Source organism: Homo sapiens, chromosome X (assembly GCF_000001405.40).
Source record: "Homo sapiens chromosome X, GRCh38.p14 Primary Assembly".
Classification (NCBI taxonomy): Eukaryota; Metazoa; Chordata; class Mammalia; order Primates; family Hominidae; genus Homo; species Homo sapiens.
Genome location: NC_000023.11, coordinates 118,779,098 through 118,795,424, shown reverse-complemented (window position 1 = coordinate 118,795,424; position 16,327 = coordinate 118,779,098). Strand labels below are relative to the sequence as shown.

General features: G+C 38.3%; 1 protein-coding gene across 2 annotated transcripts in view; it reads right to left on the bottom strand.

Moving 5' to 3' along the window:
* The window catches only part of IL13RA1 (interleukin 13 receptor subunit alpha 1), a 77,623-nt gene that overhangs the window by 9,804 nt on the left and 51,492 nt on the right, over positions 1-16,327 (bottom strand). Inside the window, exon 11 of one of the 2 annotated variants that reach the window (NM_001560.3) lies at positions 892-3,663. The exons of the other annotated variant lie outside the window; for it this stretch is intronic. Coding sequence (NP_001551.1) covers positions 3,571-3,663 — 93 coding nt within the window. The 3' untranslated portion in view covers positions 892-3,570. Of the gene's footprint in view, positions 1-891; positions 3,664-16,327 lie in introns of those variants that run through there. 2 annotated transcript variants of the gene reach the window in all.

The following is a 16,327-nucleotide window of genomic DNA, read 5'->3' as shown; positions in this document are numbered from 1 at the left end:
TTGGATTCTATAAAGATTCAGGGTAATTAGCAAATGTGATCTGGCTGAAGACACACTCCTTGAGCTTAACACAAATGAGGGGAAGAAAACCTCCATGACATTAAAACCATTTTGCTGTAGTTATAGAAAATATGAAACTGTATCACCAGCTTTTAAAAGGACAGCTATTGAAAACTGATTTTTTTTTCTTTTTCTTTTTTTTTTTTTTTTTTTGAGACGGAGTCTCGCTCTGTTGCCCAGGCTGGAGTGCAGTGGCATGCTGCAAGCTCCACCTCCCGGGTTCACGCCATTCTCCTGCCTCAGCCTCCTGAGTAGCTGGGACCACAGTCGCCCGCCACTACACCCAGCTAATTTTTTTGTATTTTTAGTACAGCTGGGGTTTCACCGTGTTAGCCAGGATGGTCTGGATCTCCTGACCTCATGATCAGCCCGCTTCAGCCTTCCAAAGTGCTGGGATTACAGGCGTGAGCCACTGCGTCCAGTCAAAAACTGACTTTCTTGGTCTCTAATCTAACCTGCTAATATATTCCCTTGTGACTAGACATTGCACATCATGTATATCATTAATCATATTGCATTCCACTTTAGCTTAATATTAGAAAGGACCAACCCTCCATTTCCATTAATTATCATAACTACAATTTATTGAATACTTAAGTCCCTTCAAGTGCTGCTTACAAAGGCTAAATTAATATTAAACTAAGTGTATTTATGCCCTTATCAGAAAACATAGGCACACCGGAACAGCCAGAACATCAAAGAAACTCATGATGAATGATTATAAGATAAAATAGCTGGCTTGGAATTTTTTCATAATGTTTCTTCTTTTAACTCCAATTTTCTCTACCTCCCACCATTTCCCCAAAATAAGACCAAAGGAAAACATTTGGGTGACATACAAAAAGACAATATTTATTTTACTCAAGCTTTCCTATAAGAAGTTAAACAGAAACAATCCCTGGTTGAAGACTACCAAAAATGTTAACATTGTTTCACATATCCCTTCAGTGCCCAGATGAAGGGAAAAACTTAACTGAACGAAAGAATAAGAATTACCATCCTGACACTGGGTTTGCTTAGGTATGTTAGGAAAAAATCCACATAGGCTAGACCTAAAACAGTAAATGAGCCTACTAATTTCCCACAGGGGATGGGAAATCCACTGATACAGACACCTCCAAGAGCTCCCAAGACCTAGGGATCACAACCACCACAGGTATTCCCATAACTTCCTTTTCCCTCCCTTTTCCCTCAGCTATTTTACTGCTAAAAGAAGAGGATGGGAACAAAAGATCACTTCCCCACTCCCAGACTGCATGACTGTCAGCATCAATGTTTGTTGGGAATTTCACAGCATCCTCTTCATGGCCATCTAAATAGGATAACAGTAAAAATGGCTAGGGGGAGGCATGGGTTTTGCTTCCCAGAATTATAAAATACCTGGAAAGGAATTAATCTCATTCCTATACAGGAAAACCAAATATTCTTTCTAGAGAACAGCAGAACAAAGTAGAACATCTACTACGGCTGTCTCCCAGCCTCAATCTGACTTCAAGAATAACTTTACATCTGCCATTGTCATGAACCCCAGCTTCCTCAGAGAAGCCAGGGCACCATGCTTCTACACGGCCATGGAAGCAGGTTGCCACTTGTACCCAAACCTGTAGAGAGTGAGGGTTTCTTATCTCCCCTCCCCTAGGAGCAGGAATTGCAAATAGCATCATTGTATTAATATGATTGGTAAATGTTTGAACAACTTGGAAATAAAGTTCTCAAGTTCCTACCAGTAATATGAGTCTGTGTGTGAGGAGAGAAATGGGGTGGGGGAAATGCCTCTCATTTCCCATACTTCTTTAAATTTGGGGGAAGTAAGAGTAGAGGGGATATATACGGATATGTTGTGTGGATAGGTGAGAATGGAACCCAATATATGCCCCCCAAAAGCATAAACAGAGCCTTGGCTGGCTGGCTACCAATGTAAGACACAAAAGCTATTTAATTAATCATTTATGGCAGAGAAAAGAGGAATCCTGGACCCATCTTGTAAAGAAAGAGAAATAGGTTCAACTATTCTTTTTTTCTCAAGCGAATACCAATGTTCTACGTGAAGATACCACCTCATCTCTGTTTAGAAAATGCACAAATATCAATGCTGAAAACCCTCACATGGAAGTTACAAAATATGCAAGAATTAGTCATTGTTTCTCAGATTACTCACACTTAACCTGAGATGCTAATTATCCTCTGCTCCTCCAGGTCTCCTGAGCAGATTTACATCCTAATTTCCAATGAAAGTCAAAAGGCTACAAGGAAGGGAAGGAGGGAGAATGCAAAAGGGGAAATCAGTGTTGGAATTGAGGAGTTAAAAGGTCTGAAAAATGACTGGTGGAGATTAAAAAAAAAAGTGGCAAGAACTGAGGAGTCTCAAATAGACTGTAAACCCCTGGAAGGGGTCTGTGCTTCACACCCGGGGGCCTAGCACAAACCAAAGACACAGTAAATGCTACTTGAGTAGCAGAGGTGAAGAAAATACATTGTTAGAGACTTCATGGTTGAAACTCTAATACCCAAGGAGTCATTCTACCTCCACTGCCCCTAACAGCCTAAAATGGCTTTGAAAGGTCTTGGCAAAGAAGCTGCCTCTGGTTTTTCTGTAGTTGTCATCATGGCCAACACTGATTTCTGGGGCTTTCAAAGCAGAGGAAAATGCTGTCGAAGGGAATGATGACTCCAGAATATTAAGAGGTTTTTTTGTTTTGTTTTGTTTTGTTTTGTTTTTTAGACAGAGTCTTGCTCTGTCACCCAGGCTAGAGTGCAGTGGTGTGATCTCTGCTCACTGCAACCTCCACCTCCCAGGTTCAAACAATTCACCTGCCTCAGCTTCCCGAGTAGCTGGGATTACAGGCACGCGCCACCACACCCAGTTAATTTTTGTAGTTTTAGTAGAGAGGAGGTTTCACCATTTTGGTCAGGCTGGTCTGGAACTCCTGACCTCGAGTGATCCGCCCGCCTCGGACTCCCAAATTGCTGGGATTACAGGCGTGAGCCACCGGACCCAGCCCAGACTGTTAAAAGAGTTTTAATAGCCACAAACATGGTTCAATAGGATCCCAAACAATACATATCAGATTTTATCCATTTTGTTTTCTACATGTTCTTTGTGACTCAAGTTTGACATTAGCATTTGCACCCCAAATGAGTTCCCCTACAAATAAAATTTGTTCATGTTGACACAAAGAACACAAAGCAAGTATAGATCCCTCAGGAAGTTGTCACAACTCTTGATAAGATTAACTCCACCACTATCATCACTTTTTGCTTTGTCCCCTAGTTTGAAGCCTGCTGGCTTTTATAATTCAATGAGAATGACTCCACACTCTTCTCCAAAGCGCCCATTATTTTTAGTTTTTCGGTGCGCGACTCAACATAAAGACCTGTGGCTCTTATGAGCTGCCTGTTTTTAAATGGTGCAGTAGTTTCAGTTTCCATTTAATAAGTTCCCAGATAACAAATGGAGAATGGGAAGAATCTTCTCAAGGTCACAGTGAAGGTAAAAATAAATTATCTCCATCACTGAGAGGCTTTCTTCAGGTTTTCTATCAGCACTACAGAGTCGGTTTCCTCCTTGGTTTGCTTCTCATAGATGTCGTACTTCTTCCAGTGCTAGAAGGGAGGAAAAAAACACATACACAATGACATATCTAAACAGTGTTCTTTCCCTGAGTACTTAGTGCCAATGCTTATTTTTAGGTTTGTGTGGATGGAACCGTAGGGGTATGATTTCCTGTTTTTTTTTTTTTTTTGACCTAAGAATCTTTATCTATCTGAATGATTAATGAAACAGAACAATCAGGAATTAATATTAAATGGAGGTGGGAATCATGAGATAGTTACATGATGTACAATGACTATCTCCAGAAATAAACAAATTTGGACATTTCCACCACTGGAAATAAAATCTATTAAGAAGAATAAAAGGATGTCATGCCGTTCTTACTCCAACTGTTTTGCTGAGACCTTTATTACCTTTATTTTCTTAATGCTCATTGCTCCAGAGACATAATAGGTTCAAAAAGTCAAGTAGCATTGAGATGAATGGTAAAACATAAGATGTTCCTAAAGTCTTACTGCAATCGAAATTGCCGAAAGACCCTATATTAAGAGCTTCATCTAACATCATTTGCTAGAACAGGAAATTACACATAAAGCACACTTATCTTGAACCCAATTCAAGCATGTCTCTTATGGTAAAAGCCAATATCCTGGTCCTTGCCTTTTTTTTACTTTTACTTGTAAATCAGAGGAAAGGGTGAAACATGAGCTCGGTCCTCTCATCTGTAAAATAAAGTTGTTATACTAAACCAGGGGTCAGCAAACTATGGTCCACAGGTCAAATCCGGCTGAATGCTGGTCTTTGTTTCATATTGCCTTCACCTGCATTCATGTTATAATGGCAGAGTTGAGTTGTGACAGAGACTGAATGGCTTGCAAAAACAAAATCATTTATTATCTGGCCCTTTACAGAAAAAAGTCTACCAAACCCTGCATTAGGTTATGTCTAAGCTCGTTTTCTGCACAGATGTTCTTAGAAAAGAAATGGAAAGAAGAAAAACAGAAACAAGAGCTGCCTCAGGTTGTGCAACTGAAGATGGACTGGGCAAGTTAAGAGATGAGGGGATGAGTTGGGAAACACTGCTCAAAATATGCAAATTATTCTAAACAAATTATATAACCCTGACACACCTACTAGAATGGCTAAAATTAAAAATACCGACAATTCCAAGCGCTCATAAGAACGCAGAGAAACTAGATCTCTATGTATTGTTGGTAAAAATAAGATAGTGCAATCATTATGGAAAACAGTCTGACACTTGGTTATAAAATAACACATACACTTACCACATGACCCAGAAATCCCACTCCCAGGTATTTACCCAAGAGAAATGAAAACATGTCACACAAAGACTTCTACATGAATGTTTATAGCATTTTCACTAATAATAGATTAAAAACTAGATACAACTCTGATGTCCTTGAACAAGTGAATGGTTAAATAAACTGTGGTTACAACCATATTATAGAATACTGCTCAGCAATAAAAGGAAATGAACTACTGACACACACCACAGTGTGGATGTCTCTTAAACACATTATGCTGAGTAAAAGAAGCCAAACTCAAAAAGCTATGTACTGTGTGATTTCATTTATAGGACATCTTGTAAGACTTTAGGGACAGAAAACTGATCAGTGTTTGCAAGGCGATTAACAGAGGGGGTTGACTGCAAAGGACTACAAGATAACTTTTAGGAGATGATGGAAATATTCTATATTTTTAATGGAGCAGTGGTTACAAAATTGCATATATTTGCTAACATTCTTCTAACTGAACACTCAAAAAAGAGTAAATTTTATTGTAAATTACACCTCAAACTTGATTTTAAAACATGTGAAATGTATAGATTTCTAATAAAAACAATTTGAAAAAATTATATAACCTTGAAAAAATGGCTTATTTAATAAATGACACTAAGACAAGTGGGTAATATAAGCATTTGAAAACAATGCTAAACCCTACCTCATAGCCTACATGAATAAATCCCTGATGGATTAAAGATCTCAATGTTAAAAAAAATCAAATAAGTACTAGAAAAATATGTAGAGGAACAACTATATAAATCTAAGGTGGAAAGGGCTCTTTACACCTAAAAATACAGGAAGATTTGACTGCATAAAAAAGGAAAAACCTTTTGTACATCATTAATCACCCTAAATACAATACAAAGGAAAACATGGATAAGAAGCCAGAGGGTTAATATCTAATACGTAAAGAGCTTTACAAACCACCAAAAGATGAATACAACAAGGAAAAATGGACGTGGAACAAGAATTTCACAAAAGAATTAATTCAAGCCAATAAACTTGGGAAAAAGTACAAAACCTGACTGTAAAATTAAGACGCTCTTTTCTCATCTATTAACTTGGCAAGAATTTTAAAATTAGGTAATATCATATTGGCAAAAGTATGGTCAAACAACCAGTCGAACATACTGCTGGTAGGTATATGAACTGGCACAACTTAGTTGTAATCTATGCTTCTTATGAAAAAATTTGTTTGTGCATTTTAATGCCCCAGTTTCCTTAACACAAAGGAATCATACTCTCCATATGTAACCTGGGTGTTTCACCTAACAGTGTATGTTATATTTTTATACATCAGTAAAAGTGATCTACCTCATTTTAACCTCTACATAATATTTCATTGCATGAATGCACCATAACTTATTTAGCCAGTTTCCTTAATGGGAATTTAATTTGTACAACCTTTCTGGATGACAATTTGTCAATACAGGTAGAATATCCCTTATGCAAAATGCTTGGGACCAGAAGTGTTTCAGCTTTTGGAATATTTGCACTATATACTTACCAGCTGAGCATCACTAACGCAAAAATCTGAAATTCCAAATGTTGCAATGAACATTTCCTTTGAACGTCATGTTAGAAAGTTTCAGATTTGGGAGCATTTCGGATTTTAGATTTTCAGATTAGGAATACTCAGCCTGTATCAGTCAAAGAGTTTAAAATACATATACCCTCCCCCTTGATCATGCAATTTGGCTTGTAACAATTTATCCTAAGACAGTAATAAAATATTAATACATATGCTTATACTTAGCTGTGAAATGATGCCTATACAATGAAATTTAGGATTCATCCAAATGCCAATAGGAATTTTGTTAAGTACATTATAATATGTGCACACAATGGAATATTATTTAGCCACTAAAAACTATATTATAGGGGACCAGGGTTGACTAACTTTTCCTGAAAATGGCTAGATAAGAAGTATTTTCAGCTTCGGGGGCCATATAGTCTCTGTGCCTATAAAACAACTCTGCTGTTGTAGCATGAAAGCAGCCACAGACAATATATAAATGAATGGGCCTGGCCAACGAAACTGTATGACACTGAAATCTTAATTTCATGTGCCATGAAATAGTATTCTTACATTTTTTTCCCAACTATTTAGAAGCACAAAAACCATTCTTAGGTTAAAGACTGTACAAAAACAAGTGGCAGGCAGAATTTGCCCCTTGGTCTATAGTTTGCAGAAAAATTCTGCGAAGAAGATGGTGGTAGCAGCATCGTTTTTGAATATTCCCAAATATCACCATAAAAAAACACAAGTTGGAAATATAAATAGGAAAGTGTTGCGTGAAGTCAGGGACCCCGAACGGAGGGACCTGCTGAAGTCATGACAGAAGAATATAAATTGTGAAGATTTCATGGACATTTATTAGTTCTCCAAATTAATACTTTTATAATTTCTTACGCCTCTCTTTACTGCAATCTCTGAACATAAATTGTGAAGATTTCATAGACATTTATCACTTCCCCAATCAATACTCTTATAACTTCCTATGCCTATCTTTACTTTAATCTCTTAATCCCGTCATCTTCATAAACTGAGGATGTATGTCGCCTCAGGCCCCTGTGATGATTGCATTAACTGCACAAATTGTTCATAAAGCATGTGTGTTTGAACAATATGAAATCTGGGCACCTTGAAAAAAGAAAAGGATAACAGCAATGTTCAGGGAACAAGGGAGATAACCATTAGGTCTGACTGCCTGGAGCCGGGCAGGACAGTCATATTTCTCTTATTGCCAAAAACAGGTACGAGAAATATCACTGAATTATTTCCCCAGTAAGGAATATTAGCAATTAACAGCCCTGGGAAAAGAATGCATTCCCAGGAGGAGGCCTCTAAAATGGCTGCTCTAGGAGTGTCTGCCTTATGCAGTCATAGATAGAGATGAAACACGCCCTAGTCTCCTGCAGCACCCTCAGGCTTATTAGGATTAGGAAATTTCTGCCTAGTAAATTTTAGTCAGAATGGTTGTCTGCTCTCAAACCCTGTTTCCTGATGTTTATCAATGACAATGCATGCACAGCAGGACCAGGAACCAGGCGAAATTCTAGTTTCGCCCTGGCCTTGTGACCTTGCCCTGCCCATTTGCCTTGTGATATTTTGTTGCCCTTGAAGCATGTGATCTCTGTGACCCACACCCTATTCGTACACTCCCTCCCCTTTGAAAATTGCTAATAAAAACTTGCTGGTTTTACGGCTTAGGGGGCATCATGGAACCTGCTGACATGTGATGTCTCCCCCAGACATCCAGCTTTAAAATTTCTCTCTTTTGTACTCTTTCCCTTTATTTATCAGACCGGCTGACACTTAGGGAAAATAGAAAAGAACTTACGTTGAAATATTGGGGGCTGGTTCCCCCAATAGGAAAGTAAATCCAAAATCTACCAACACAAGATGAAATCTACAACAAAACAAGATGAAAACATTTCCCCCATGAACCTCAAAGTAAGAGTGAATGTGGACAAATTAGAGATAGTTACAGGACCAAAATGGTATAAGCTGTGGAAGAGTATATAAACGGACTCAACATGGCATCCTATAGATCTGAGAACTGTAAAATAACTCAACTTCAGCAAGCAAATTTATGAACAACTGATAAAGGGAAGGGTTTGCATTTTCAAACAGTGATTGAGTGCAAGGAGTCCGTGGTCTAGACTGAAAGCAGCCTGGGCCTCCAGAAACTCAAAACTAATCCTTAATCCCTTCCAGGGCAAAGCTGCACTCTGAGGAGAAACTGGTGAAACTGGATTACAAATTAGTCAGGACAGGGACAAGAGCGACAAAAAAGAAAGCCTAGATCAAAGCAGAAAGGTAGACAGAAAGGGCCAGGAGATTTCAGAATGTAATTCATTAGAGGATGGAGCTCTACAGCCATAAAATTAGGGAAAGAAACAACTTGTCTCAATCAAGCCTCCTTCTAAAAGTTCAGGAAACTGATTTCATACAAAAATGAACAACAGAAGCCAAGTGTGGTTGTTCACGCCTATAATCCCAGCACTTTGGGAGGCCAAGGCAGGAGGATTGCTTGAGCCCAGGAATTTGAGACCAGCCTGGGCAATATGGTGAAACCCCACCTCTACAAAAATAATAATTTTTTTTTTTTTTGAGATGGAGTCTCACACTGTTGCCCGGGCTGGAGTGCAGAGGCGTGATCTTGGCTCACTGCAACTTCTGCCTCCAGGTTCAAGCGATTCTCCTTGCCTCAGCCACCCAAGTAGCTGGGATTACAGGCACCCGCCACCAAGCCTGGCTAATTTTTTTGTATTTTTAGTAGAGACGGGGTTTTGCTATGTTGGCCAAGCTGGTCTTGAACTCCTGACCTTGTGATCTGTCTGCCTCAGCCTCCCAAAGTGACAATTATTTTTAAAATAAAAAATGTTTAAAATTAAAGAATAAAATAAAAATGAGCCACAGAATAATACTCTTACAGAATTAAAACATAACAGAACGATATATCCACAAAATAGATGAAAACTACAACCTAATATTTCAAAACTAGCTGAAGTATATTTAAAAAGTTACATGATATAAAAAAAGTAATCAATGTAGAAGAATATATTAAAAGTCAATATAAACAACTCAGAAATTGGATGACAAAACTCACAGAAGAATTAAAAGTAAAAGAAGGCTGGGCGCAGTGGCTCATGCTTGTAATCCCAGCACTTTGGGAGGTCAAGGTGGGTGGATCACTTGAGGTCAGGGGTTCGAGACCAGCCTGGCCAACATGGTGCAACCCCATCTCTAATAACAATACAAAATTAGCCAGGCATGGTGGCATGTGCCTGTAATCCCAGCTACTTGGGAGGCTGAGGCAGGAGAATCACTTGAACCTGGGAGGCGGAGTTTGCAGTGAGCCAAGATCGCACCACTGCACTCCAGCCTGGGCGATGGAGTGAGACTCCATCTCAAAAAATAAAACAAAATAAAAGTAAAGGAAAATAATCATTTCAAAATTGAAGACTAAGCTAGAAGAAACACAGGGCAAATAAACACAACATATCATCAGATAAGATCTTAAATAGATTAAAAAGTAGGATTTTTTAACAAAAATGAAATGAAGGTGGATGAAAATTATTCAAGAGGATGTGAAAGGGCTGGAAGGGCTGGGTGCAGCGGCTCACACCTATAATTCCTGAACTCTGGAAGTTCCAGGTGGGGGAATAACTTGAAGCCAGTAGTTCAAGACCAGACTGGGCAACACAGCAAGACTGCATCTCTAAAAAAAATTTAAAAATTAGCCAGGCATGGTGGCACATGCCTGTCCCAGCTATTCAGGAGGCTGAGTTGGGAGGATCACTTGAGCCCAGATGTTGGAGTCTGCAATAAGCTATCATGGTGCCACCATACTCCAGCCCAGCCAACAGAGCAAGACCCTGTGCCAAAACAAAAAAGATGTGAAAGGTCAAAGAAAACATGGGAAGAGAATAACTAAAATCTGTAAGTGAAGAAACTTTTACTAAAATTAAAAAAAAAAAGATCTAAAATTACATACTGAGAAAGCACACCATACACTGCAAAAAATCACAACGCCAACACATATTCTGGTAAAATTATTGGACTTTGAAGAAAAAAATCATTTGACAACCAGCCAAAAAGACCAAGTGTTTTAATACAGGAGGAAAATTATATTGTCTGCTGACTCTGACAAAACATATTATGCCAGAAGAAAATGGATGACACATTTAAGATACGCAACGCAGGACCTATGAGCCATGGATTTTATATTTTGCCAAAATGACTTTCAATGATAAATGTAGCAAATTCCATCAATTTGTAAATAATTCAGGAAATGCCGGTCCCATGAATACTTCCTGAGAAAACTTTCCAGCTTCAAACAACCCAAATGACTGGAGCAATGTTGACATAAAAAATGGTAGTGAGCATCAAGTGTATCTCCACACACTGAAGTAAGACTAAATGAGGGCTCTATATGAGGACACAATGGAGATGTTCAACAACTATAAAAATGGGGAGCAAATGGGGAGAGCATATGGAAAAATATCTTTTCAATCATCATTAAAATTTATTTTATATCAAAAGTTCAGAAATTCTTTTAATTCTCATTTGTTACATTCAAATACAATTCAATATGACAGTGTTATTAAGACACATAGTAAAGGTTCCATAAGTATGAACTATTATTATTGTGGTTGCTATTACTCCATTTATCACTAAAGGTATTTCAGTTTCCCTATGTTGTTCACATACCATTAAAGATAGTTATATCTGGGTGACAGGATTAAGAGTGATTTTGTCTTTCTCTCTTGACTATCTGTAGTTCTAATTTGTCTATACTAAATGTATATTGCTTTTAAAAGAATATATATACGTATATATGTGTATATACGTATATATATATATATATACATATATATACATATATACGTATATATATATATATATATTTTTTTTTTTTTTGGCGACAGAGTCTCATTTTTGTTGCCCAGGCTGGAGTGCAGTGGCTCAATCTCGGCTCATTACAACCTCCGCCTCCCAGGCTTAAGCGATTCTCCTGCCTCAGCCTCCCAAGTAGCTGGGATTACAGGCATGCATCACCATGCCTGGTCAATTTTGTATTTTTAGTAGACGGGGTTTCACCATGTTGGCCAGGTTGGTCTCGAACTCCTGACCTCAGGTGATCCGCTTGCCTCATCCTCCCAAGTGATCAGAAAAAAAAAAAAAGTTTTAATTTAAAAAATGCATGAATGTATAGTGGTGAAGTGTGTGTGTGTGTGTGTGTAATATGGATTTTTCACAAATAAAAACTGTATAACTATTAAAAATGCACCCTGAAAATTACTTTTGTTTCCGGTCATTAGACCAACACTTGGCTGTGCTGGACAAGAAAAAAGCAATTTGTTTTAATGAGGTGAACACTACAACAGAAAGGGCTTCTCAGAATACATTAATCTTTCTGATTGCCTTTTTTCATCCCCAAAATTTGAATTACTCTCATTTCCACCCTTTATCAACACAGTGGCCTTTTCCTGAGTACTGCTTCTATGAATATGTCCATGTAAGGTAAAAGAAATAAATGCAATGGCTCTTTCCTATTATTCAATTCTGTGAATTATATGCCTGTCTAATTTTAAAACCACTTGTAGAAAAAAATAAACAAATCCACACAATTACCAGCCCAAAATTCAATCCTTACTGCCAATTTTAAAAACAAAGTAATCAACAACAGAGTAATGGCCAAAGATGAAAAACATCATAGATGAAGAAAATCAGTGATTAGGGGGCTTACACAACTGGCTTTTAGTTGGTAATTATGTGAGCCTAGAAAAACGGCATGTTATATAGGTTTTTATAATTTAAAGGCATAAATTTGGTAGTACAATGAAATATCAAGTCTCAACTTAAGATTACTTTCAAGATTTGGTTAAGATATTTTCCAGAGTGGATTGTCTACAGAAGTGAAGTGAGCTTCATGTACCTTAGCCCCATGCAAAAACACTGGCCTTTGGTATACAAGTCTACCTATTTCATGCCCCAGTCTCTCTTCAGATTATCATTCAAAACAGAAAGTTATACAAAATGAATTGTAGATCTCCACACCTTAAAATCATTGCAACTTGAAAAAGAACAAGTTGAGGCTCAGCACGGTAGCTCATGCCTGTAATCCCAGCACTTTGGGAGGCCAAGGCAGGCAGATCATTTGAGCCCAGGAGTTTGAGACTAGCCTGGGCAACATGGCAAAAGCCCATTCATACAAAAAAAAAAAAAAATTATTAGCTGGGCGTGGTAGTGCACACCTGTATTCCCAGCTACTTGGGAGGCTGAGATCAGAAGATTGCCTCAGCCCAGGAGGTTGAGGCTGCAGTGAACCATGTTTGCACCACTATATTCCAGCCTGGGCAACACAGTGAGACGCTGTCTCAAAAAAAAAAAGCAAAAACAAAAAAACACCAAGTTGAATGTGGTGGTATGGAGAGGAATAACTTGGTACTATGAGGTGTCTATTAATCCAACTCCTCACCTTAATGGATAAATAAAGGGAAATGATTAAATATGCATCTTGCCTTTTTAGTAGGAACTGAATTTCAGAACAACTAAAGAGCTCAGTTGATGACTGAAAGCAGCGCTTTATAGATACCTGTCAGCTAATAAGTGTAGAAATGGGCCAGGCACGGTGACTCATGCCTGTAGTCCCAGCACTTTGGGAGGCTGAGGCAAGAGGATCGCTTGAGCCTAGAAATTCAAGACCAGCCTGGGCAACATAGTGAGACCTTGTCTCTACAAAAGAAATTTAAAAATTAGCTGAGTGTGGTGGCACGTGACTATAGTCCCAGCTATTCAGGAGGCTGAGGCAGGAAAACTGCTTGAGCTCAGGAGGTCGAGGCTACAGTGAGCAGAGGTTGCATCACTGCCCTCCAGCCTCGGTGACAGAGCAAGATCCTGTCTCAAAAGAAAAAAAAAAGAAAAGTAAATGTAGAAATGATAGAAAGAGAAAAACTGTAATATTCAACCCAACCCCTAAGGAAATTACTGATTCAAGCAAGGATATCAACTGATGTAAAAAGCATTAGCTGAAGACTTGACAAGGTGCTAGCATAACACTACACAGATTATCTGTGTTGAAGCAATGGGGAAATAAGTGCAGATGGCAGGAGGGGACATGCTGTTGTATCACCTTAAATATAGTGGTCAATCTCAACCACTGTCTTAGTGGTCAGTGGTGAGATGACTGGATAATATCTGTCTCCTGACAATTTGGGCAGTTGGAAATACTTGAATATGGACTGAGTATTAGATGAAATTAAGGAATTAATAATTTTTAAAGTACAGTAATGCTATTTTGGCTATGTAGGAAAGCATTCTTAGCTTTTAAAGATAAATATTGAGGCTGGGCGTGGTGGCTCACGCCTGTAATCCCAGCACTTTGGGAGGCCAAGGCGGGCGGACCACCTGAGGTCAGGAGTTCGAGACCAGCCTGGCCAACATGGCAAAACCCCATTTCTACTAAAATTACAAAAATTAGCCAGGCATGGTGGCACCATCTGTAGTCCCAGCTACTCGGGAGGCTGAGGCAGGAGAATCACTTGAACCTGGGAGGCAAAGTTTGCAGTGAGCCAAGATCGTGCCACTGCACTCCAGCCTGAGTGATAGAATGAGACTCCATCTCAAAAAGGAAAAAAAAAAGATACACACTGAAGTAAAAAATAACAATCAGCAGTATTTGGATGTTATCCCCATGTTTAAAAAGCTCCTTTCTGAACAAGAATATAAAAATGGCACAATGCTGAAAATAAGAATTGGTTTCCAAGAAGCAGGGGGAGGACAGATTTTTTTTTTATGGATAAGAGAAATGCAGATAGAGAGGAGAAGCAATTCCCTCTGCAACTCCCCTTACCTCCCCTCAATATGGCCAGAAGCCCAATTAGTCACAAGGAAAAGGCAAATAGCAAAGCAACAGAAAGAAATGCTGTTGGCCAAAACATTACTATAGTAATGAACAAAACATCATCAAAACACGAGTAACTTTAAGGAAAACTATACTGAAGATTTAACTTATTCATGGCCATAACTAAATAAGTTTTTATAAGAACAACTATTAATGGTGCAGTGTGGAAGAAGACAGTGTTTAAAAAAGGACAAGATTATTTATTTGGATTGGAAGTTGGTAACTTTGGGCTATATGGGTTCTAGTCCAGGTTTTGCAGTTGCCTCTCTATGTGACTGACAGTTTGGATATATGTCCCTGCCAAATTTCATACTGAATTGTAATCCCCAACGTTGGAAGTGTGGCCTGGTGGGAAGTGTTTGGGTCATAGGGGTGGATCCCTCATGGCTTAATGCTGTCATCACAACAGTGAGTTCTCATAAGAGCTGTTTAAAAGTGTATGGCACCTCCTACCCCCTCTTGTTCCCACTCTCACCACGTAAGATGCCTGCTCCCCCTTCACTTTCCACCATGACTGTAAGCTTCCTGAGATACTCACCAGAAGCAGATGCTGGCACCACAGTTCCTGTGAAGCCTGCAGAACCATGAGCTAATTAAACCTCTTTTATTTATAAATTACCCAGTTTCAGGTATGTCTTTATAGCAATACAAGATTGGCTTAACACAGTGACAGTCCTTGAGAAACTTCTCTGTGGCTCCTCATGTCCCCATCTCTAAAGAGAGGGAGATGAGTGAGAATCTCGAGTTTTGAACATTTATAATTAAAGGGAAATAATTAAACATGTCAACATCCACCTCATTAGATGACCTCTAGGGCTATGTTCATTCAATAATTCAATGATGCTAGAAGTAAAAGAGTATGCAGCATATGCAGTTCAATTTGTGAGAATTGATGCCATGTGAAGAAAGCAGATTTTTTTCATTTGGTTAAAAGCCGACATAAAAATTTGTTCTCTTACCCTTCCCCATATCTGGAATTTTTATTATACTTTTAGTTTTAAAGAACTGATTTTGTTTAATGGTCTGCAATGGACAAAACAAAAATACCTTGTGCTTTTAATGGTCCATATTGTCAGTATATTTGCGTCACCAAATTACAGAATTATCTGACTCATCGGGACAAAAACAACATATTATCCTCTAGACAGCAAATTGAAAAAAGCAATTTTCCCATCTCTGAGAAAGATAATTGATCTGATTTTGCTGTCAATGTTACCATCATTCACTCTATTACTCAGACTTGAAAACTTGAAATTATTTTTTACTCTCCCTACCTCTCATCACCCACACAGACTCACCAAGTCATAATGAGTTGATTTCCTTTAATAATGTCTCTTACGTCAATCTCCTCTGCTACCACCTAAGTTCAAGTTCCTATTATCTCTCAGACCTGGATGACTACAGTATTTTCTTTTTCCCTTAATGACTTGTACAGGGTTTCTTTTATTATAAAAGTAGTACATGCTCACTATAGGCAATCTGGAAATTTTAGAAAGGTAGAGAGAGAGTAATATCAGTTACCCACAATCCCTTTGCCTAGAAATGATCATTCATTCGGACCCATTTCCTTCCCCTCGTTCTATGTATATATTAATGCATTTTTGATAAAAATTATGATTGTAATATACTACATGTTTATGGTAAGTTTCTTACTCCTGTATTTTGAGTATTTTGTTATAACATTAAATGCTTTGAAAACCTAACATATTTTTTTAAACTAATTCTCAATTGTTATGTTTCATTGGCTTCTAATTTTTCATGTTAAAAGCAAATGCCGCATTGACCACTCTTGTGCCATTGTTGGATCATTTCCTCAAAATTGGTTCCTAAAAGTATAATCATAGGCTCAAAGATTCCTGTTACATTTTACCAGTTTGCCCTCCAGAAAGGATATCTATCATTTTACAGGCCCACCAGCAGTGCATGAAAAGTGCCATTAATATATACAAGACATGCCAATATCTTCCCATTTAAAGCTATTCATAATACAACCC